This window comes from Homo sapiens, chromosome 3 (genome assembly GCF_000001405.40).
Source record: "Homo sapiens chromosome 3, GRCh38.p14 Primary Assembly".
Taxonomy (NCBI): domain Eukaryota; kingdom Metazoa; phylum Chordata; class Mammalia; order Primates; family Hominidae; genus Homo; species Homo sapiens.
In genome coordinates, this window is record NC_000003.12 from 1,300,519 (window position 1) to 1,326,707 (window position 26,189).

The 26,189-nt window shown below is 34.0% G+C and overlaps 1 protein-coding gene across 23 annotated transcripts in view; it reads left to right on the forward strand.

The window, feature by feature from the left end:
- Positions 1 to 26,189, forward strand: part of CNTN6 (contactin 6) — a 311,194-nt gene that overhangs the window by 207,495 nt on the left and 77,510 nt on the right. For 18 of the 23 annotated variants that reach the window (XM_011533590.3, NM_001349351.2, NM_001349354.2 and 15 more), the window contains 2 exons: positions 21,132 to 21,316; positions 25,297 to 25,433. The exons of 1 other annotated variant lie outside the window; for it this stretch is intronic. In XM_011533590.3, coding sequence (XP_011531892.1) covers positions 21,132 to 21,316; positions 25,297 to 25,433 — 322 coding nt within the window. The remainder of the gene's footprint in view (positions 1 to 21,131; positions 21,317 to 25,296; positions 25,434 to 26,189) is intronic. 4 more of the 23 variants (NM_001349361.2, NM_001349356.2, NM_001349357.2 and 1 more) reach the window with 2 other exon arrangements.

The window sequence follows — 26,189 nt, forward strand, 5'->3', positions numbered from 1 at the left end:
AAGAAAGATAAAGAAAGAGAGAGAAAGAAAGAGAAAGAAAAAGAAAGAAAGAAAGAAAGAAAGAAAGAAAGAAAGAAAGAAAGAAAGAGAGAAAGAAAGGAAGAAAAGGAGAGATAACATGATCAATATAGTCTTTGAACTGCTCACATACCAGTTTCTTAAATTTATTTATTTTTATATTATTCAAACCTATAGAAAAGTTGAAAGAGTAACACACGGACATCATATACTCTATCTGAATTGACCAAGTGTAAACCTGTGCTACATTCCCTTTCTCTCTCTCTCTCCCCCTCTCTCTCTTTCTTTCTCCACACACAAATATATTTAACCAGATACATGGTAAGATCTAATCAGGAAAAATGAAGCTTGGGATATATGAGGTATGTGGAATAATTTAAAAATAAATAAAGCAGTGTCTTATTTTCTATTAACTCCATGGTGATGGAAATAATCAACGTATTATTAAATTGCAAAAGGTAAAATTTATAATACAGGAGTCCCTAAACTTTTTTTTTTTTTTTTTTTTTTTTTTTTTTGAGACGGAGTCTAACTCTGTCGCCCAGGCTGGAGTGCAATGGCACGATCTCGGCTCACTGCAACCTCCGCGTCCCCGGTTCAAGTGATTCTCCTGCCTCAGCCTCCAGAGTAGCTGGAATTACAGGCACCTGCCACCACACCCAGCTAATTTTTGTATTTATAGTAGAGGCGGAGTTTCACTGTGTTGGCCAGGCTTGTCTCTAACTCCTGACCTCCTGCTCCACCCATCTTGGCCTCCCAAAGTGCTGGTATTACAAGCGTGAGCCACTGTGCCCGGCTCCTAAACTTTTGACAAAAATTAAACTAGCAATATTTGACCCAGAAAAATTTGAGTTGGAAAATTAATAGTTTAAAAAACTCTCAAAATGTAAAATCTGATGTGTATGTACAAAAGAAACCCCCTGATAAATAAATCATGTTGGTTAAGTTTATGCAGGAAATAACCGTTGAACATGAAATAATGTTAAATGGGAATAGGAAAATAATATAAATTACCAAACCATACCTCATAGAAAATTGTCAAGGAAATTCTTGATTTAATAGAGTACACTCCCTAAATTGTTATCTAACAAAATTAATCAATGTTGAGATTATGTTTATTAAATGAAGGCATTAATATAGAATTGAAATACCTTGTGGTAAAAATGGAAAGTCTGAAGCATCTGCTCGGTCAAAGCGGTAGCGTTAAGATGCCCTGTATAACAATCTTACATTTTGTGTAGTTGGAGTGCAGATACATTTCTCATTTCTTCAAAACAACGAAATGTATGTGAAAATACTTTGACTACTTTGGAAAACTTACAAATGTGAGTTACTACCAAAAAGAATTTTATATATGCTTGCCAATAGTTTTCAGAAAACAAATTAAATTATCTTTGACACATTGCAAACATACTGAAAATGCCTTTGAGTCCATTATAAATTAAGGTATTTAGCAAATGCCATATTGTCTTCTAAATATATAAAATTAACAAGCATAAAAGGCGACACACTCACTAGAAGATTAATTATGTTATAGGTATATAATTAACAATCTGAAAATAAAAAGTCAAACGTCTTATCTTCAAAATTATAAATCTGTATTTGTAAGTTTGTTGCCAAGTGTTTTTATAAAGTCTATTGTTTATTATAAATCATATTCTCTAACATCTCTTCATAAAAATATTGCTGTGCAGCATTTGGTTTTAGTCATTTTTTTCCCCAAATGTGGGGACTCCCTTTTACTAATCCTTCTAAATCTTCCTGTCTACTTTGTGATGTACTTTACTCTTTTGTAAGATGTTGCATAACCTCAAAACTGAGAAAAGCTAGTTGACTTGAGGAATAAAATCAAATATTTTTTTCTTATTACATTACTATTCATTGACTGCTATTTAAGCTATAGACTACACATTTATTAGACTAAGATGTATATATTTTAATAGATGGGGGAAAGAGAGAGAGAAGAGGGAGGAAGGAAATCAATAGGTGGGTAGAAGGAAAAAGAAATGAAAATATAGAAAGACCAGCTCCAGTGCCAGATCTTATTACATTTTTTATTTTTAGGTCATAAGAGAGCTTCTGATATAAAAATTGGCTTTTGTTAAATGTTTGTTTAATGTACCCCATACATGTGCTCACATAACTAGGAAATATCACCCCCTATCACTGGGAATATTTTTTCTCTTGAGGTTGTAGATTATTTTTGTTATTTATTTATCTTGCTTTGTTTTCTCTGAAATTCCTGAGTCTATGGTTTGGTGTTTGTCATTATTTTTGAAAACTATTCAGGCATGATTACTTCAAACATTTATTTGTTTGTTTTTTTCTCCTTTTAGTATTTGTTTTACATTATCTTTTATGCCATTTGTAATCTCCCTTCTGTCCAAGTTCTTAATCTTTTTAAAATTTTTATTTTTATCTTTGCATCTCAGTTTGGGAGGTTCTATTGATACTGCTTGTCATTCATTTACTTCCCCCCTTAGCTATGTTCAGTCTACTGGTGAGCCCATCAAAGCCATCCCTCATTTGTGTTATAACTTATTTTATTTCCAGCATTTCCTTTTGATCCTTTCTTAGAGTTTTCTTCTCTGTGCTTACATTATCCATTTGTTCTTGTATGCTGTTCACTTTTTTATTATAGCACTTAATATATTAATTATAGTAATTCAAAATTACAGTCTGATAACTGTTCAATTTTAAATCCTCAGCCTGATAGTCCTAAAAGTTTCATTGTATTTGAGTCTAGTTATCATGGTTGTTTTGTCTCTTCAGACTGTTTTTTAGCAGGCTTTGCACTTTTTTTTGAATCCTGGTCATTATTATATCAGATTAAAGGAACTTCAATAACTAAACTTTTAGCGTGAGGTTTTATGTTTTTCTAGCTAGGGTTAGACTGTAATTACTGTTGGCTCTAGCTGTGGTATCAGAGGTTAAATTTTAGCTAGTACCTTTGCTTTTATCTCCACTCTTGCCCTTGGGTTTCCCTAGAGACTCTTTCCTAAATAGCATCTAAAGCTTGCCGTTATTTCAGCTGTAATTCTCTGCACTGTAATTATATAGGAGCCCTAAATAAGTCCTCGCTTGCTAATTCTATCATCTCAGTTATTTGTGGGTCTGTTTCTATTGGCTGCTTTTTCTCCTAGTCACAGTTCTCATTTTTTTGCTTGTTTGGATATCTAGTAATTTAAGATTGAATAGTAGACACCATAAATGTCTTGTTGTTGAATGCTAAATTGTGGTGTATTTATTAAAAAGCTTTTTGAACTTTATTTTGATAGGCAGTTGTTATACTACTGTGAATCCTCGAGTTTTCTGTGGTTATTAAGGCTGGTTTACTACTAAAATGAAATCCCCAACTGAATGCTTCAAATGTTCACCAAGTTTTTCTTCTCTGGCATAGTGGAGCTCTCATGTCTTCCAGGCCTATTTGAGCTCTGAAAATTATTCTTTGCCCAGCCTCATGTGACACTCCTATGCAGATCTTCAGAGCACATTATTTGAGTAATGCCATTCTTTCTAACACTGTGCTCTGCAATTCCAGCCACTTCAGCCTCTCCAAATCTTATCTTTGTCTTCTCAGCTTAGTGACACAGTACTTTACTACTTATGTCTCCCCTACCTACTCCCTGATCTGGATGGAAAGCATCTCTACACAGAAAATAAGGGCTACCAAAACCTTACTTCATTTATTTCCCCTCTTTCAGGATCATACTTTTGTGTTGCCAATTGTTCAAGTTCCAGAAAGAGGTTTTTTTTTTCCATATATTTGTCTAGTTTTTCACTGTTTTTGAAATACTAATTACGGAGGTAAATACAGTGAGGCTTAGATAAATTAAGTGACTTAACCAATGTAAGTTGCATAAGTTGCATATCTGGGATTCAAATCTACATCTCATAGATTCTGACTTCAAAACTCATGCTTATAACACTTTCATATTTATATTGAATTAACTTCTAAGTATCTGACTTACTTAATCCTCCATGTGCAGATGTAGTATGACCCTCAATTATGTAAATATTTTACAAGAAAAAGGCTTGAAAGAATTCAGCAAAATGTTAAAAAATGCTTTATCTAGGGAATGGAATTATAGATATATTTCCCATTTATATTATCTATAATAACTAATATTCCAGCAACAAGTAAGTTTTAATTTTATATATTAAAAATAACCCTTGGCCGGGCGCAGTGGCTCACGCCTGTAATCCCAGCACTTTGGGAGGCCGAGGTGGGTGGATCACGAGGTCAGGAGTTCAAGACCAGCCTGGCCAAGAAGGTGAAACCCCCTTATCTACAAAAAATACAAAAAATTAGCCGGGTGCAGTGGCAGACACCTGTAATCCCAGCTCGGGAGGCTGAGGCAGGAGAATTGCTTGAACTCAGAGGGTGGAAGTTGCAGTGAGCTGAGATCGTGCTGCTGCACTCCAGCCTAAAGACAGAATGAGACTCTGTCAAAAAAAAAAAAAAAAACAAAATTCAAAAGATAAACTTGTAAAAATTCAAGCTGTGTTTTAATGAGAAGAAAAAAGTGTTTTCAAAAACATCAAAAATCAGGTTTATACACCTTATTATTTTATAGATGATGATGGCAATGTACACCATTTCTAAAAGTCTGGTATACCTGATTAGGTAGCACTCAGAAAACATAGCTTCTGTCACGGATACCATCATGCAGACAGAATGTATAAAAAGTGAGGTCTAGAGAAGAACAGGTGAAGTGTTTACTCATATAATCTAACAATCTTAAACCACTATAAGCTAGTGTGAGTATAGAATAATTAAGACAAAGCTTCAAGTAATTGTCTTAACTTTAATTGCTATGACTTTGGGGATATGTAACTGACTTCCTTTGTTGGAGTTTCAGAGCTGACATGATCACAGCTTTCAACTCTCAGCTTTGTCTCATTTGTTTAACATGGTGGACTCTTAATTATGAAAGCTGCAAATTAATTGTATTGTGAAATACCCTGAGAAGCTCCTTGTATAGGTGCTATGCAAATGTAGTATGATTGACTGATAGATATGTACGTCTCCTTTGAAAAAAATATGGGCTCTTGCTGAGTGAAGAAATTAAACTGATATCCCCCATAACTCTATTCTACTGCTTTTATAAACAACCAAACATATTTTCCTTTTTTTAAAAAAATCTTAATTTAGTACCTTTTCTGTCAGTGTTCTGGAATGTAAATAACATTAGTAGCAGCACTGAACGTTCCTGTGTGTTCTGAAGCCTTCACACAGAGGACTATATTTATGTGTACATGTATAACTTATTTTTTTTTCTAATTTATGAAGCTAAAGATACCCAGCTTGGCTATTAATGTCAAGCAACAAATCTGAAGTCTCACCATGATGTTGTTAGGTGTTCCAGAATTTTCAGGTGACAGAGGAGCTATTTCTTATAGTGTTTGCTTTTCGTCTTACTAATGTGGACATCATTGCAGATTATACTGCAGAAAGATTTTTCAAGTCACTTAAGATGAAAATAACATTTTTAAATCAAGCTAGGCACACTGAAATTTTTCAGTTCCTTAGCGATTATTTTTGGTTTATTGAATTAATCACTCAGGTATCTTAATGATTTTGAAACTGGATGTCTAAAAAATTGTTTACCTTTTGTTTCCCCTCATTGAGTTGAGCAGATAGAGAACAGAATCTCTTCCTAGGCATAGTTTACCCCATTCACTCCAGAAATGTATACTGAAACCTAATCTTTAGATTCTTGCTAATGGCTTTTTCTATAACACGATATTATCAATAACTTTTTTTTAACATGACGTGGTATTGCTTGGCATAAAATAATCAAGTAAACTCTATAGAACACTCACCTCTGTTGACCATGCTCACAAATCTGAGAACTAAAAAATCTTCAAGCCAATTATTCAGAAATTGAAAGATAACATTAAACCCACTACACTCTCACATAAACAAGCGCTCAACCTAGCAATAAATAATTTATCAGTGAATTTACTAGCATTTGAAGGCAAATGGTATGCTGAAAAGTGTGGACTTTAAGTTCAAATAGAGCAGGATTGGAGTCTTAACTTCACTTGTCAATAGCTGGATGACTTTGGTCAGTTTTCTTATCTGTATAAGGAAGGCAAAAATGATAGAGAGAGAATAAATAGATACAGCAGAATGTTTGTAAGGACTGGAAATACTATTAAGCTCACTTACTAAATTTCCTGACCCATAATAGGCATTAAATAGTAACTACTTTATTAATCCTGGGAATTGTCAAAGCTGCTTTGACTGAGGAGGTAAAAAGGAACATGTAAGAAGGAGCGAAGTGGTTTCTGTATTATATTTTTGTGTTAAGGGACTTCCCCAGAAGAATAGATTTATCATTTTAAATTCTGTTCAATCTTTCTAAGAGTTACTGACGTTTCCTCACTCACTCATTTGACAAATTGAGCACAAATTATTCATTCACTTAGCAAATATGTATTGAATACCTCATTCCATCATTAATTCCTTCATTTCTTCATTTAGGTAGTCAGTCAGGAGGGATTCTCCAAAGGACAGACACTTGGCCCTGGGAGATAAAGAAGATTACATAAAGGCCCCGGGGAGGTTGCAGGCTAATGAAAATAAGATTGATGTAACAATGTGCAATCACACATTCTCTTGGGATCAGCTCTTTCCTTCCAGACTTTCAGTGAAGGAAGAGTCAAGGATCCTCACTTTGGGAGCTTTACTGATTATCTTTTTCCCACGCTGCCCTTTATCAAATAGAGACTGGAGAGGGTCACTGTCATTTCTTTAGCAGAGCTAATTTTAGGCTATTATTTAAGGGTTTCTTGTATTTCTGAGAAATGGAAAATTATTTCTTCCTTTTTTCCCCTCTGTTCATAAATACATTTTTTAACTAATGGATTTTAAAGAATAGTTTTAGAACAGAAATATTGAACGGATAGTACAGAGAGGTCCAATATAACCCCCCCACACACAATTTCCCTTGTTACTAACATCTTACGTTATTATGATGCATTTGTTACAATTAACCAGCCAATACTGATGTCTGATTATTATAAAGTCCATATTTTATTCAAATTTATTTGGTATTTATGCCCTTCTATTCCAAGATTCCATCCAGAATACCATATTACATCGAGTTTTCTTGTCTCATTAGTCTTCTCTTGTCTGTAGCAGAATCTCAGACATTTCTTGTGTTTGATGTCCCTGACAGTTTTGAGGGGTGGTGGTCAGTTTATTGTAGGCTGCCCCTCTGTTAGAATGTGTCTGTATTTGTCATAATTAGACTGGGGTTACAAGTTTTGGAGAGGAAGAACATAAAGGTAAGGAACAATTTTCATTACATATCAAGGTTAACTTTATCATAATGATTTATGACAGATGATGCTGGCCTTGATTACCTGGCTGAAATACTTTTTATCAGGGTTCTCCACTGTAAAATTACTCTTTTCTCCCACTCCATACTGACTCTTTGGAAATGGGTGACTATGTGTAGTCCACATTTGATGAATAGAGTGTTGTGCTTCACCTTCTGCAGAATAATGAGACTATAGAATTCTTCTACCTGTGAAATGTGTCACTTCTTCCTCATTTATTAATATTTAATAATTTACTTCTGTCAGTACTGACTCACATATAATTATTTTAGACTTTGGGTTGTAATTCTGTGCTACTTTGTTTATTTTGCTGCTCAAATTGTTTTAGCTTTTGCCATTGGGAGACTTTTAAGTTGGATCTTGTGCCCTTTGTTATGCACTCATCAATGTATGGGGTGTTTTGTGTGTGTGTGTGTGTGTGTGTGTGTGTGTGTGTGCACCTGTTAGCACTTTCTTATTTACTGGCATTAAAGATGTTCCAGGTTCATCTTGTATGTTTCATGCCCTAGTCATAGAAGCAGTCATGTCTCCAAGGATAGGGTCTTGTTATTGAAGAATGACATCAGAAACCAATATCTGGGTACTAGGTGTGCTTGTTGCTGCTGGAGTGTCATTTATTTAGGCGCTCTCAGATGACAGAGAAAAGAAGTATGTGTGTCTATACTAATTATTATGTACATATATCTATAAGTATTTCTACATACAGCTATTTGTATTATGTTAAATTAAACATATGATCTTGTTGTTGTCTCCGACTCTAATCCATTACCACATGGATCACTCTGCTCTCCTCCACTTACTGATCAGTACCTTTCCACTCCACACAGTGCTGTCCCATTTTGCAATACCACCAGTAATAAATTAGAATTTTGATTTCTCTTAATCTACACCAGCATTTGATATTGTGTGTGTTTTTGTTTTGTTTTGTTTTTTAGCCATTCTTACAGGTGTATAGTGGTATTTCCTTGTTGTTTTAATTGGTAATTCTCTAACGGCAAAGGATGTGAACATCTTTTAATGTGATTATTTGCTATCTATTTATCTTCTTTAGTAAGACGTCTGCTTATATCTTTTCTACATTTTTAATTGGTATGTTTATTTTCTTATTGATGAGCTTTAAGAATTCTTTGCATATTTTGAACATAAGCCTTTTATCAGATATGCGTTTTGCCAATATTTTCTCCCAGTCTGTGACTTGTCTTTGCATTTCCTTAACAATGTCCTTAACAAAGCACAAGGTTTTTATTTTAATGATGTGCAGGTTATCAATTTTTTTTCCAATAAACGGTGTTTTTGGCATTAAATACAAAAACTCATCACTATATCCAAGGTTACCTAGATATTCTCCTCTGTCATCTTCTAGAGCTATTATAGCTTTATGTTTTGCATTTTCATTGATGGTCCATTTTGCATTAATTTTTGTGAAAGATATGACTTCTGGGTCTATTCATTTTATAACATATGGACTTCCAATCGTTCCAGTATCTGTTAAAAAGACAAATTTTTCTCCACTGTATTGCGTTTGCTCCTTTGTCAAAGATATGCTGACTGTATTTGTATAGGTCTATTACCGGGATCTCTTTTGTTCCATTGCTCTGTCTATTCTTTTGCCATTACCACATTGCCTCAATTACTGTAGCTTTACGGTAAATCCTGAAGTCAGGTAATGTCAGTACTCCAACTTTATTCTTCTTCTTCAGCATTGTGTTGGCTATTTTGTTTTGTTTTGCTTTCCTTGTCTTTCCATACAAACTTAGAATCATTTTGTCTATATCCATGAAATAGCAATTGGGGTTTTGATTGGGATTGACTTAAATCTATTGATCAAGTTGGGAAGACTTGACACACTGACAGTGTTGAGTCTTTTCATCCATGAACACAGACTATTTCTCCGCTTATTTCGATCTCTTTTAATTGATTTTATGAGATTGTATAGTTTTCTGCATGTAAATTCTGAAATACTATTTTATATAAACCCTAGAATTTCATGTTTTAGTGCTAATATAAATGGCATTGTATGTTAATTGTGGAATTCAAATTCCATTTGTTAACTACTGGTATAAACAAAAGTTAACTGACTTTGATATATTAACATTGTATCTTGTTGCCTTGCTATAAGCACTTATTAGTGCTGGAGTTATTTTTTGTTAATTCTTGGGGATTTTTCATTGCTGCCTGGGAACAAGTATTATTTCCTTCTTTTCAATCTATATACATTTTTTTTGCCTTTTCTTGTATTATTGCACCAGCTAGGATTTCCAATACAATGATGACAGTGAGTGATAAGAGTAAACATGCTTGCCTTTTTCCGCTATCCAAAATGAAAGCATCCAATTTCTCACCATTAAGTAGGATGCTAGTGCTACATTTTTTGGCAGACATTTTTATCAAGTTGGGGAGCTTCCTCTCCATTCCTAGTTCATTGAGAATTTTTATTTTGGATAGGTGTTGCATTTTTCCAAATGCTTTTTTTGGCACCAGTTGATATGATCATGTGATTTTTCTTCTATTCATTAGTGGATTTCATGAATTAATTTTCTAATATTGAACCATCAGTCCTGCATACCCAAGACAAGTCCTATTTTGTTGTGGTGCATAAGTCTTTTTAATTGTTGCTGGACACAATTTGCTAATATTTGTTGAGGATTTTTCCATTTGTATTAATGAAAGATACTGGTCTGCAGTTTTACTTTCTTGAAATGTCTTTATCTTATTTTGGCATTATGGTAATTTGGCCTCATAGAGTGAATTTAAAAATATTCTCTCTGCTTCCATTTTCTAGAAGAGATTATGTACATAAAGAAGAAATGTATGTACATCAAGAAAAAATAGAGGCCAGGCGCAGTGGCTCATGCCTGTAATCCCAGGACTTTGGGAGGCTGAGGCGGGCAGATCGCCTGAGGTCAGGAGTTTGAGACTAGCCTGCCCAATATGGAGAAACCCCATCTCTACTAAAAATACAAAATCAGCTGGGTGTGGTGGTGCACACCTGTAATCCCAGCTACTCAGGTGGCTGAAGCAGGAGAATCGCTTGAACCCGGGAGGCAGAAGTTGCTGTGAGCTGAGATTGTGCCATTGCAGTTCCCAAAGGACAAAAACGAGCAGGAGAACCAGAGTTCTAGAAGTGAATTTGAAATGAGAGCTGAGGGCAGGCAAGGAAACAAGCAAGGAGATTAGGAAGAGTTACTTCCTTTGCTTAAAGCAAAACAAATACATACTTAGGTTTTTATATATACATAGGTGTATGTATATATAAAATGTCTTTATATATACATAGGTGTATATATAAAATGTCTTTATATATATAGGTGTTGTATATATAAAATGTCTTTATATGTACATATATGTGTATATATACACATATATATTTGTATATGTGTATATATACATACATATTTATATATACATATACGTATATGTACATATAAAATGTATATATACATATATGTACATATAAAATGTCTTTATATGTACATATATGTACATATAAAATGTCTTTATATGTACATATATGTACATATAAAATGTCTTTATATGTACATATATGTACATATAAAATGTCTTTATATGTACATATATGTACATATAAAATGTCTTTATATGTACATATATGTACATATAAAATGTCTTTATATGTACATATATGTACATATAAATGTCTATGTGTATATAAAATATCTTTATATACACATATATGTATATATAAAGTTTGAAAAAGTCAGATATACTCATTTAAGAAAATTCTGAAAATATAGGCAAGAAAAAAGGAGACAATAAAATCCTTTTTATACTTAATTTCTCCCCCAAAGGATAACTACTCTTATTTCAGTATACATATATCCTTCCTGTCTTTATTCTACTTTTAACATAATTAGTATAATACACTGCATATTTGTTTGTAAATTTTTTTAATTCTTAAAAATATACCATGAACATATATGCAAGTCATTAAACAGTCCTCTGCACCCTCATTTGTAATGACAATGAGATATTTCAATATATATTTATAGCCAATCTCCTATTGGTGGACATTTAGTTTCCATCAATTTTGTTTCCAATTTTTTGTAATCATGAATAATAATGTAATGAATATTCTTGTGGCTGTATTTTGCTTACGTTCATGTAAACTTCCTAAGTATATTTTTAGAAAATTAGGATTATTGGTAAATGGAACACTATGTAAAATACTACGATTTCTAAATATCTTGCCAGTTTCTCAAGAAAGATTATAGAGGGGCCACTGTCAAAGACCAGGGACCTGCCCTAAAAGTTGGCCTCTTTTAATCTTAAAGACACACTCCGAATCTAATGTCAAACATTCCTTTCCATATAGTTTTTGAAAATTTTTTTTTCAAGGAGCATAGAGTGGATTGTTACAGTGCTGTTTCTAAAATTAAACTAATTTAAAGGTTCTTAAAAATCATCCAAGAAGAATATATATATATGTATATGTATATTTCTGGAAGCAACTCATCATCCTTTCCATCCCAGTCTATCACCACCTCTCTCAGGAGACCCACAGTTCTTACTTTTAAGTAATTGGCAGTTTACAGTAGAGAAGGATTTCAAATCTAAGTTGGAACTGGGCTCAGGAAAAATAATAAGTTGTTTGTTTCCTATTTTCCAGCTGACCTTGGAGCCCATCTCTAAGCTTCTACTCAAATTTGGAGGCATCTCAATATGTTTTAAAAAGATAGTCTCCGTGATTTCACCTTTTGCCTCTTATACAAAAAAAAAAAAAAAAGCATCTATTGACTGGTTGCAAGACACATTAGTTCCTTAGGTGAAGAATGTATTGCTAAGCACATGTTATACACCCTAATAAGGTTTGCTCTCATTTTGTACCTGGTTAATTCATGCAGGGGGAGCAAAGCATGGTGATTTAGAGCTCCATGTCTGTGGAAAGACAGACTTTGGTTCAAATCCTTTTTTTTTTTTTTTTAATTTACTGTATGATGTTGGGCATATTACCCAAACTATCCTAATCCCAATTTGTTCATCTACAAAATGTGAACAACTGTAATCGTATGTTTGATAGTGCTATAGCATGATTTAAAGAAAATACTTAGCATGGAGCTAACATATAATATGTGCTCAATTCATGTTAAATAATGATAAAATGATAAACTGTTAATATGCCATTTCAGTCTCTTTACTTCTTTATATGAAAATTTATGATTCCAAACTGAGACAAGATCAAACGGAATAAATTTGAGGTAACACAAGGCCCACCTACCTATACCAAATTATCATTTTCTCTCCTAAGAGCAGCAGAGGTATTTATCGAGGCTTAGTATTATTTATTAATAAAAAATTATAGACAAGCTGTTAGTGAACTGCTAAGTGCAGTATCATATTCAGCTCTACCACATCTTGAAATAGTGGGCTTCAATTCATGTTTCATGTGCAGATTAGTATTCATATTATTTACATTAAAAGGAGTAGAAATTGGTAGTAAAATTCTTAGAGAATCTTTGGACAATGGTCCTTTCATGTCTCTGTTCATAATCTTGGTATTAAGGCAATTTACTAAGCCTTATTTATGCTTCAAACATTGTATTTTAGAATGTACTCTCATGGATATTTCCTCATTTGCTCTTCCTGTGTACTCATTCTTATTTCTAGTTAATGTAAAGAGAACACTGAGTCTCAGAGAGGTTAGGTAACTTGTATTCAGCTCTATAAAATTTGCCTGCGTCCTTTTTTTTCCCCCAACTGCAGGTGCCATTCTGTTACCACTGCTATTATAAACAAACCATTTGTGGCTTTTCAAAGATGTCCTCCCCAAGGGAAAGCTGATATAGGCATCATCTTATTCCCATTGGGCTGCCATCACAAAATACTGTAGACTTGTAAACAACAGGAATTGGCTTGTGAACAACAGAAATTTGTTGTTCACAAGTTCTGGAGGCTGGGAAGTCCATGATCAAGGCAACAGCAGACTTAGTGTTTGGTGAGATGTCTGGTGAGGGCTGATCTCTGGTTCATCTAGCTGTGTCCTCGCATGGTGGAAGAGAAAAACAAGCTCCCTCCGATCTATTTTATAAGAACACTAATCCCACTATGAAGGCTCTATCTTCATGTCATAGTCCCACCTCCTAATACTATCACCTTAGGGGTTAGGTTTCCAACCTATAAATTTGGGGAGGACACAAACATTCATTTCCTAGTAGGGACTGACTGCAAGGACAGAATCATGACTCCATTTACACCACTCAGAGTAAAATAAAAATGTTTTCTCTTTTTCCGTAACAGTGAGATTGCTTTTCTACAGAACTCATGAATTTATCCATATTGTATTGCCATAGGACAATCTTACATTCCAAGCTCTTTGTATGAATATTTCAAATTGGGGAAATGAAAGCAGCTAGCTGAACAGTCTGAAAATGTAGCAAAGGCATTCTTTGCTGGTTTTGTTATTCTGCTTCACTCTCTTTGATTAAAACTGGCCCACTGACAGGATTTCCTGAAATGAGGTTCAAGTTAATAATCCCAAATACAAGCATCTTAAGAAACTCATTCTCTGTACCAGTCTTTAGTTAAAAACTTAGTATGGCTTGGATTTAAGCTGTAGATAATGAGGTTTAAGAAATCCAGGGGAGAAATACAAGCTTTCTCAAATAGCACTAGTAATAAAAATTCTATTTATGGGCTAAAGGTATAGAATTGAGGCACAGTGTGCTTCTACTAGTGTATGTAGAGCTTTAATTTAACTCGAAATCAGGATGAACTAGGTCAGATGGTTAAGAAGTGTATTCTCTGTCTTCAGATAAAATTAATAGGATGCTCCCTTTGTAAAAGCATAAAGACATGACAGGATGAAGTAAAAGTCCATATTTATGGCAATGCGTATTCCAGAAGCACGAAACCACAGCAGAGGAAAAGAAAAAAGAAAAACTTTGCTTTTATCATCTAGTAGTATTTCACAATTGTGAAGAATCACATTTCAGGCAACCTTCATTTAGAAAATAGGAACAAAATAAGAAAAGGCTTTTGCAATGCTCCTTTTGAAATACAAGGTTCAAGAATCCCTCATCTATGGTCTGAGGAATCTTTGAATAAGAGAATTGCTTCATATTGGTTTTCTTTATTGAGATTTGCATCCAAGCTCAATTTTTGTAAAAAGAGAGAGGGGAGAAGTGTAAAATTGGAGTTTAAAGGGAAATGTTGCCAGAAACGACTGATATCTGTAGTTAAAATGATAATGGCACCATTTGTTTTGACTCTGTAACATCAGTTTCAAGAGATTTAACGATAATCTCCATTCTGAAGACCCCTTCAAAGATCCACCTTCCTCCATGGTGTTCTTTATCTGATTAATATATTAACTTTTCATTTTAAAGAGATCATTTATCTTGAAGCAAAACGAACTCCTAGTAAATACTGCATTGCTAGTATCAACATGGACAAACTACACAGAGTCTAAAAAGAATGCTGAAGCCACAGTAGGAGAAACAGTCTATTAGTGCTTTTAATTTAGTGGGTGGCAACTCAAAGGAATTAGAAGGTAGATCACAATAAATTAGCGTGCTCTGGAACTCTAAGTGGAGGAGAACTGGCAGGTAATAATTTAGTTGAAATTACCCATCTAAAGGTGAGTATCATTCCAAAAAGTTAATTAGCATTGTTAGCAGCTGCAAGCTGGGTATTTAGCTCAGATGGCATATGGAAGCCATCTGTCACAATGCCTGGTACATAGTAAGCACTCAGTTAATGATTATTAATATTATTTTAAAATATCTAATTTTCCTATACCATTTCCTTCAGTTTGGAGAGCACTGTCTGATTGCTTTCTTCCCTACTGAAATGGTACTAGATGATTAACCACGTTAAAGAAAAAGGTCCTCCACACCCACACATCCATGTCTCACCTGAAAGATTCCTGCCCTTGTCATGATGAAGTGAACATGACTACTATGATCAAGGTTGTATCTCCATAGCAGCTAGGACATTAAATGGTGAGATGCAGGAAATTTACACACACTCATGCTTGTGTAGCCGTTTCATTCATAGTGTGGAGATCTGATTTCAGTGTATAAATGATTCGTAAATCAGTTTGTATCAAATGCGTAGTCATATGGATCCCTTAACAGAGAGTAAAAGACAAATACATGTGAATTAGGATTCCTGGTTTTGAAATGATAGTAATCACATTATAATAATCTTAAAATATTTTTATTAATTGAACACTCAAACATATTGTTTAATAGGTGCTAGGCAGTATGGTAAGCATGTGACATGAATTATCTTAATCCTCAAAATAAGCCTATGAATTGTGTACTATTACTAATTACCATGCTATAAATGAGAGGCGTATTAATCTATTCTTGCACTGCTATAAAGAAATAACAGGGACTGGGCAATTTATAAAGAAAAGAGGTTTAATTGGCTCACAGTTCTGCAGGCTGTACAGGAAGCATAACAGCTTCTGCTTCTGGGGAGGCCTCAGGAAACTTACAATCATGGTAGAAAGTGAAGGGGAAGCAGGCATGTCCTACATGGCTGGAGCAGAAGGAAGAGAGAGAGAGGGAAGGTGCTACACACCTTTAAACAACCATATCTCACAATAACTCACTCACTATCATGAGAACAGCACCACGGAGATAGTGCTAAACCATTAATGAATGATCCACCCCCATAATCCAGTCACCTCCCACCAGATCCCCACCTTCAATACTGGGGATTACATTTTTACATGAGATTTGGGCAGGGACACAGATCCAAACTATGTAAAGAAGATTCTTGCTTATAAATGTGCAACAAAATTTAGCTAAGGATGAGAGCCACATTTCTCTCTTTACTACATACATAGTATTATACTAGTAAACCTTATTGTAATTGTTATTATTATTATTAACACAGAATGGTATCTCTTGGAAAAATACGCTTACATTAAAACATTAAAGCTCGCTACTAAAATAATTTTGTTTTTCATTGATTCCAGTTTTTCCCACCCACTGTCCATTTAGGATGGCTTCAGAAAAGAGAAATGGTGTCAAATCTGAAGCAGTTTATTTAGTGTCTTCATAAAAAATTCTGGGATGAAGTGGGAATTGCTCATTAAAATGCATACATATTTTTAAATAACCTGTGTTTTGCATTTATTCTTTCTGCCTCTGTACCTTACATTACCAATGATAAGCAAGAGGAACATGGCATTCAGATTTAGCAGTTATATAACTGAGCTGAAAAAAATCTCAACATTTAATTAGGAACTGTGAAATTGTATAAACCTGCTTCACTTTTCTCCCATTAAAAACTTTGTTAACACAGACTATTGCCGCAAAATGCATTTGATTAGACTTTTCTTATTTAAAAGGTTTTTATCATTATTTTTTGATAATTTGTTGTTTTTTCTTGCTGTGAGGATTCTAAAATATCTAGAGCACACACTATAATAGCCAGGAGGAATCCACCATATCATGTAATTCAATCACACAGATAGAAACTAACCTAGCTAGCATTTGAACTGAGGCATTCAGAATCTATTTGTCAGGTCTGTTCTGGATGAATACAGCAGGAAAATGACTCAAAATGGGCTTAAGAAAAAAATAATATATTGGCTAACTGAAACGTTCAAAAAGGTTGATGCTTGTTTGTTTTTCGGGGGGTGGGCATCAAGCATGCCTTGAGTTAGGTGTGTGAACAATTCCAAGTTTCTTTCCTCTGTGTTAGTTTCGGATTTCAGAGATGCTTTCTCTATTTGGTGGAAAATTATTGACTAGAATCTTGGCGTTTATACCTCACTGTCTCAAAAAACCTCAGTGGAAAGAGATCTCCTCTTCAAGAGCCATTCTGCAAGCAGTCCTGGAACTGAATCTAATTGTCTCTGGTTGGTTTGTCTTCATCCCCGTGTTTGTCTAGTCAAGGTGGCTATGCCCTACAAGCCTCTTATGGCAAGACCTGAATTATGTGCTCTCACCTAATGCCAGAGGTGTGGTCAGCCCAACTGAAATGAGATGGGGAGGATTGGGCTTTGTAAGGAAAATAAAAATGCAGGTTAAAAAAAAAAAAAAAAGCAAACACATGTCCTCTGCAGATTTAGAATCCAGGACATTAATTCTTGTAACCATCTTCAAAATGGAACAATATAACTTTTAAAGCCCAGTACTGTACCCTGAATCTTATAACCTTCTCCTTAATTGAATGTTTTATCAGACTTACAACTCCAAACACAATTGAGAAAGAAGAAAAAAAGGAAAGAAAGAGAGAAGGAAAGAAAGAAAGAAAGAAGAGAGAGAAAGAAAGAAAAAGAAAGAAAATTCTAGAGGAGTTTCTTTCTTAGTGAGATTTTCTTGTCTCTTTTAAGTCTCATGTCTCTTGCGTTTCTTGCCTTTTGCTATCATTCTGGTGTGATTGTAGCTCTGCAGAGCAATAAGTTCTCAACATATGTTCACAATTCATGGTTTTTCACAATGGTTCTACTACTAATTTTTTTTTTTGTCTTATATGCCATTCATGTTCAATTCTCTAGACTTCCATTTGGATGTGTGTCTAAAGCCTATATAAAAATACTATAATAAGAAATACTTAAGGTTTCCTACAGTTGGTATTTTAACTAAAGTAGCACATGATTAGAGCCCGCTGGGAATTCTAATTAATTGAATTTTTAAGAGGCAGAACCTGAAAGTATAATTTTTTGCAAGTGATTTATTAGATGAGTTTTTAGAAAGAACCCAAAGGAAAAGAGGGAAGTGGGGCAGGGAAGAGATAGTAGCCAAGCTCGGTATACTGTCAAGCAAAGTTCCACAGAAGGTAAATTTGATTCAATCCTATAGCTCTGGAGAGAATACAGGTCATACCTAGAGTTGTCTCACAACTAGGAGCACGGGAGCTGGAGAAGTTATACCCTAGAAGCCAGTCATTTATTGGTTAATGGCTGCTCCTGGGGGTATGTAAATTCCTAGGTACTTTCAGTTCTCTCTTTGTGAAGATAAATTAGCTATAACAGCTTGAGGACAGTGTCCAAAAAGAGATAACATGTACTGGCTCTTAAGGGTACAAAGTACATAGGAATCTGGGGCGGAAGAGGGATTAGAAGGGACGTGAGTCCAGCACTGACATTTTCTGCTACATTACTCGTCTAAGAAAGGTGTATCTAAATAGGAGACTCCATTTCTTGTATCAAAGGGAAAAAATGCTTGTCCAGTAAGACTTTAATGTTGTCACTGAGTTATTTTTCTTTGGACAAGGTGGAATTCTCTTTACACCCACACAATTGGGCCACTTAAAATGGAGATCCACTTTTGTAAAGTAACAAATACCTAGGCTTCAAGGGAATGATCTAATTAGGTTTGTGCAAAAGTAATCCTACTTTTGCCATGACTTTTAATGGCAAAAGCCGCGATTACTTTTGCACCAACCTAACACAACAGCTGTGAAGTCAGTATTCCTTTGAATTATACTCATAGCTTCTACTTCAAGAAAACCTGAAAATGAATCCCAGCTCCGCCTCTTTAGCTTTAGAAAAGTAAGTGAAATTATATGTACGTATTGTACAGATACATAGTACTTGGTACTCTGTATTGTACAGGTACTGTGAGTCTGCATAATATATGCATATAAGGTAGCTATTTGTTGTAATATTATTACAATTATCATAATTGTCAAAATGTTCAGTTACTTAGGTATTTAGTTATGTTAAAAAATGACTTCTGTCTTCACAATCAATATAAATAACTAAGAGCAGAGGGAAAAATACACAATTTTTACTTATATTTTGTCTGAATGTTTTAGATTAAAAGCCTTTTCAATTGGATACTTTGCATGTATTTGTTATAAATCTCAGAGATTTGCTGTCATAAAAAGATAAAGGATCATGAATTCAGACAAATATTAGAGCTCTATTTTTCCTTTGTAAAACAATTTTCTCAGAAAATTTTTATTACACTGGTAATGCATGCTCATTGCAGGAAAATAATGAAAACCAGAAATAAACAGAGAGCAGAAAATAAAATAAAATAAAATAAAATAAAATAAAATAAAATAAAAGACATTTATATCACAACTACCCATAGATAAAAACTTCACATGCAATACATACAACATATGCATTTTTAATTGAATAATACCTCATATCCTATAAAATTCACTAGACATTGTGAATATCTATGTGAATAAAGTTCCTTCTAGAATTTCGTTCTTATTGGTTAGTATGCCATAAAATGAATGAAAAAGAACATCAGTTATCTGAGGTTAATTGTTGCCATGAATATACCAATTTACTGAAATGTCAACTTAAATTTGTGGCAAGTGGCAAGGCTTTTTAAAAGGACAAAAACTTAGTATATGATAATAATTATTTTTTACTTAAGGCAATTCAAAATTCAAGTTTTCACTGTAATTGTATGTTAATTCTGAGAATAATTGAATCAAACATTGATTTAGGGCACATTTTCTGACAAATATGTTTGAGTGCATATGATTTTTATCCTTGTGCTTTATCCTTGATGTACATAGGAGGATAATAATTTTTTCCAATAAAAATGTCTAAGGCTTCATAAGTGTTCTTGCTTGAAGCTTCTACTGAGACATCCCAACTTTCTGCAGTTGTTTACTGCTCAAACTCTCCAAATCTTTATTTGCCAAGCACTTTGCATGTAGTTGGATGAGCCTCCCACATTCCTTCTGCTGACTTGAAGAAATTCTGCCTCTTCTTCAAGGTTTACCAATTGACTTTGCAAAATGACTTACTACCATTATTATTAATTTGAAATATAATTAGAATAGAATTATTCAAATCATCTAAAAATCTATAAGGGAATGAAGAATGACTTGACAAGAGGAAAGGAGAGATATTAATGTGAACAGACTGGGGATTCATTTTACAATTCATTAGTTTAGTAGTGAATATTTTCCTTCTGGAACTTTGCTTGCAGCCTGCCCGTTCTTATTTTATGCCTTCTAAACCATTAATTTCTAAATTCATCCCTTATTGTTAAACACTTAGTTTCATTTATTATAACATGTATTTTTGCTCCTTTGAAAGATACCCATATTAGACTAAAAATAATAGATATGAGAAAGTAGACGAAATTAATATTAATAAAGTAACTTTATTTACAAGTTCTTTATAACAGGGGACAGGCTGCGGTGTAAATCCATCTTTGTTTTACTTTTTTTTAAATCGTATATAAATGAGTACTTTTTTTGAGGATCATAGAGCCTATTTACCAGTTCATATGGGTCTGTTTTATAGTGCTGTTTTCCCTGGATAATTTACCTCACCCATCCCATGTCTTCAGTTACCTATTAGTACCAGTTTAGATCTGGAATACTTTATATTTTTGCCTTAGAAACTATAAATATATATATAAAGCCTGCCTAGTCTTAAATGTCATGTTCTCACAAAGAATTTCCTTGACCACTATAATAAATTGACATAATCTTGTTACTATCTCTGCACTCTATTTCTTTTGTTTCGGTTATTGCAGTTTGCAAGTGTACTTGTTTTTATTATTTGTTTATGGTATGTTTTCCCACTAGTCTGTAAGCAACATAAGGGCAGAGGACATGTCTATTTTATTCACCACTATTTTCCCTGAACATAGCACAGTGACTTGCATACGGCAGGCACTTAATAAAGTGTTAAATAAATGACTGATTGAGTGAATGGCGAATGATTGCATGATCTGAAAACTAGTCATAATACAACAGATTGATAGAATATTTTTCTTGAGAGTTATTTGTATGGATGCTCTTCTTTTATTTTGCTGTCATAAAGATTAAACCGTCTTCTATTCTAATGAGGTGTAACTGTTTAGTCCAGTCCCCGATATTAGTTGGAGAAGGTTGGACGGGAGCCCGTTGCCAGGGAAAGTCAAGTACAGCAAATCCCAAGCTATCCTTGAAATCCCGAACTTCCAACAAGAAGATGAAGGCTTTTATGAGTGCATTGCAAGCAACCTTCGAGGAAGAAACCTTGCAAAGGGTCAACTCATTTTTTATGGTGAGCTAATTGGATTTCAAATATATATAAAATATTTGGTAATGCCCTTCATAATAAATTGTGGAAGTCATTAGCATGTTGTGAAAAAGTGTCACGGGAGAAATAAGGAAGGCATATTTCCGGGTTTAGATGCTTAACACAATGATTAGCAGATGGGAATGACCACCTTTAAAATATGGTTTTAATTTTAGCATGGTCTATGAATGCTATTGTTTATTATATTTGCCTTCAAAATATCAGCAGTGTCATGTTAAAGCCATAAAAGTTTATAATAAAAGGAAGCATGAACTCCATATATTTCCCATTAAACGTTCTGCAGCAGATTATAGCAATCTTGATTCTAATTCTAAGTAGAATTAATAAATGAAAAAAATTGATAGGAAAAATATAATACTGCATGGTGGTTTATAATATTTGTTCCTAGTTTTCATATTTTGTCTACTCATAAGTAGGTAATATAAAAAGAAGGCAATTACATTATTTAAAATTATGTTTGTCTCAGTTACAAAAATCTCTCGTAAACTTAAGAGAGACGATGAATGCATATATTATCTAAAAGCTGTCTTTGTGTCTTCTTTAATCCAGGATTGAAATTTTCTCTTACTTAACATTAAGTAAACAATACAATATATCTCAGAATTTGCAAAATGCTGTATACTATTAAAAGATCCTTAACTTCTTTGATAAACTTAATGTATCTGTATTAGATAATTTTTAAAAAGTATTGATATATGGCCAAAATACTTTCCTATGTGACATGTTTATAATCAATGATAAAGTAATTAGAGAAAATATGTGTGTATGTGTGTGTGTATGTGTGTGTGTGTGTAATAACTAGAAAAATCCAGGATACTGTAATTATCCCATAGGAATGTTGATTGAGTGCCCGTGGGGAGAACATATTGTGTGTCTGTAATATTATTTTCCATTTTCTTTAGAATTTCCAACTTTAACCTGCAATGAATACTACTATTTTATATATAGAATATAATTTTCTACTCATTATTCTCCTACAGTTTTAGCAAACCTAGCCAAGAAAAACAATATTTTTTTTCAGTAGTACCTACACTTTAAAGGAAAGTCTTTGGAATTTAGTATCCTTTGTAAATAAAATAGGATACAAATGGGAGTTTTAGTAGAATGAAGATATTGAATGCTTTGGCTAGTTTTAAAGAAATATTTTCCATTTTATATATAATAGACAAAGATATAATCAAGGGATGAACCAGAACACAAAGGTATCTGTAAACTGGAAATCAATAATAAAGTACCTTTCTGTATACTGATAAAGCAAATGTTAGCTTACATAGCAATTTTACAAACATTCACTTATAGAATTCTTAATCTTAAGAAGTAGAAATCTTAAGATTAATATTAAGAGGTAGAAACAATGTTCAGTGATACTATAGGCAAAAATATCTTAAGTTAATTGTGCAGGATCTCACAGATAGTGATTGTCAGATTCAAGATCAGAACCTTGAAATGTCTTCTGAAACTGCCATAGCATTTCAACATGGTGGTCTAAGCTCATTGTACTATATCTCACCACAACCAAATTAGCCATTTAATTAGCCTGAAATGGTCCTTGTAGGGGAATAATGGATACTTAGTCAATAACATAATCATTATGTTTCTTAGTCACATATTAATTCACTTTCTGAAGTGCTTTCAAAAGAAAAGAGGATTACTGACTCAGTTACCTCAGAGTTGAATAATAACTGAGAAATTCAAGAAAAGAATCTCTCAGTCTGTTATATTGCTGTGTTTAAGTTATAATTCAGAACCAAGTAATATTGTATATCCATCTATATCGTAATTTTATAATCTCTAAAAGAAATCTCTAAAGTATTATTCATCATAGAAAATAGAACATGTTCAGAGGAGTTAAGTGGCTTTTCATAACCAGTCAATATGGCAGAAAAAAATCTAAAACTCAAACCTGTATGGTAGACCCAAAATCCTAAGCCTCTTCTCCCATGAATTTCCTACCTAGTTTTAAATTTAAAACTTTGCTCTCCAGAATTTTAATCATCCAAAGAATGTTCACGTTGAATAAATAAATGTGTTCTGTAGCCGCAATTATTGCATTAAGCATAAAATCAGATATATCTGAAACCTTTGTAAGTTATGTGAAATTACATATGAGCATGCATTTATTTTCCCAGGTCAGACATATATTAGGACAATTTCTAAACAAATACTTATGAATTATATAATTTTGTTAATAATACCCAGAAACATGATTCAATTTCACCAATAGATCTAGTTCTTCTAAGTTTTGCCTTGATTTGTCCCTCAAGGCTGCAGGAAGCACATTCTGTAACTGGAAGTTGTCCTGATTCCTGCAAGAGGTAATCCTAGGCTTAGTTCCCACCACCCAGAGACATCATGATTTCTTTTACTCGTTTGTAGTCTCATTGAAGGGTCTTCTGTCTTGGTGAAGGCAGGTTGTGCAGTAGAAAAACTCTAGAAGTCAGACAGACTTGCGTTTTATATTGTGCACAATTTCGAATCCTCTCGGCCCTGCTTCTTACTTCAGCCACTGCTACGGTGGCCAGTTCAGCACTGTGCGTTGTAGATGTAACCTGAAGGAGTGTTGTCTCAGGTGCAAAACTACCAAGCACATCTTGTTTTCTGTTCTGGGTTTTCTTTGGCTCCTTCGTGAGCCTACTCAGCATTTAAGCATGCCCAGTTTGGATGTGCCAGTAGTTTACACCTGCACTACCCTTAGATGACCATGGATGGGAACTAAATGATCCCCCTTCATTTCCCTGGGTAGACAGCTCTAAAGACTGCTTAGAAGTTGACATAAGATGGAGAACAATGGATCGTGTTGGTGGTCAACTCAATAACTCAGCCTTGCATTGACTTTTTTTTCCTTCCCGGTGACTACCTTTTTTTCCTGATGCTTTTCCCTTGGGCTAACATTCTCAAATGAACATGTGGAACTCAAGCCCTTTACTTAGGTTCTGCTTTTAGGGTTCAAATTTTGGCTTCCCTGTTTTCTACCATGTCATCTTGAACAGGTTACCTAACATCGCTGCGAGAATCCACTGAAAGATTGTAGAGGGAATTAAGTGCAATTACAAATATAAAGCATCTGGCTTGCCACAGCCTGAGAGTCCAAGGGAAGCGTCATATACTTCTGTATATCCAAGGACAGAACTAAATAAAGGAGAGGGATTAATTGGCACCTCCAGGCAGTTTCCAGTCAGTTTATGAAAGAGATATTCATGTGAAAACATTTAATTTCCAACCCGCCTGTTTCCATGAATGATGGTAAAAATAATACAATCTTACTTTCACGTCAATTATGCCAGTTTCTTGTTGTCTCACTACTATGAAGAACTTTCTCAAATTAAAGAAAATTTGGAAAACTCACACCCAGAATTAAAGTAAGATACTGAACCTGTATAAAACTCCAAATGTTCACCATTCCTTGTCAAGAATTTTATCTAGGAAAAAAGAATACTGGATTATCTTTCTACCAAAATGCCAGGAAGCTCATGTTTGATTTATGCTTCAAGGTATTGAGTTGTAATTGTGTCTGAAACAGATACAGATTTATTACTTTTAGTTTAGAGCAAATATAATCAGTGAACTTTCAGATTTATTCCACAGGTTCAGATTTGATATACATTTTCTAACTTGACCTATGTTCTAATATTTAGCATGGATTTATTCCCTGGCCCTGTTCTACATTTTGCCCTTTTCCCACAGCTCCCAAGTTGTTATACAGGTGGAGCAAAATGACAGATGACAAACATTTAACTTGAGCCAAATGCCCAATGATATTTGCAACAGGATTTCTGTCAACCCGCATTGAAGCTCCTGCATGTCCCCTCCCTCAAATCGTGTGTGTGCAATCCAACTGGACCCAGTTAGCCTTGTCCTTCTGATCTCTACAGCCCTTGTAATGTAGCATAATGTCTTGGATAACTGCCTTTTACCAAACAGTGGCACTTGCCTTTTTGAAACAGCTCCTCCAGAATGGGAACAGAAAATCCAAAATACACACCTCTCTATCTATGACAACTTGCTCTGGGAATGTAAAGCTAGTGGAAAGCCAAACCCTTGGTATACATGGTTAAAAAATGGTGAACGACTCAACCCAGAGGTAAGCAACTATGTTGATATTAAAAGTTTACCTACTCTACTAGGTAAATTTTGTTACTAACAGTACTAGTAACTAACAGAAACAGCTAATGTTAATGGAGTCTTTGGTATGTTCCAGGAAAGGATGCATACACTGATTTATTTAATCCTTAAATAAACTTACAAAGTAACCCATCTTTCAAAAGAGAAAAATAAGTGTAGACAAGACAAATAACTTTCACAAAATCACTGTTAGCCAGTAATAGATTCACATTTAAATATCATCATCATCATCACCGTCATCATCGACACGGATAACACTTACTGAACTCTCATATGAGCCAAGCCCTGTGTTAAATATTTTTCCGTGCATTATCTTATTGCACCCTCATGAAAACATTATAAGAGAGATACAAGTATTATTCCTTTATGTAAATGAAGAAAATGAGTTTCAAAGAGGTTAGGCTACTTGTTTAAGGTCACACAGCAGCTAGTAAATGTTAGAATTAGCATTTTAAACTTTTATTTTGGTCTGATATCAGGACCCAATCTCTTAGTCACTACCCAGTATTTTGCTTTTATGAACACTGACGACTGTCTTTAAACCCCTAGGAAAGTAAATAACTAAGGCAGTTATCCACATTTCTCCATTTAAAGCATACTTTCTTCTACAATACCTAGAAAATGAAAGATTTGTTTTTTACCTATTAAATTATCCAGATAATTGTGTCAATTCTCCATTTTACTTTGCACATGTAGGCATAGCCAGAGACACAAA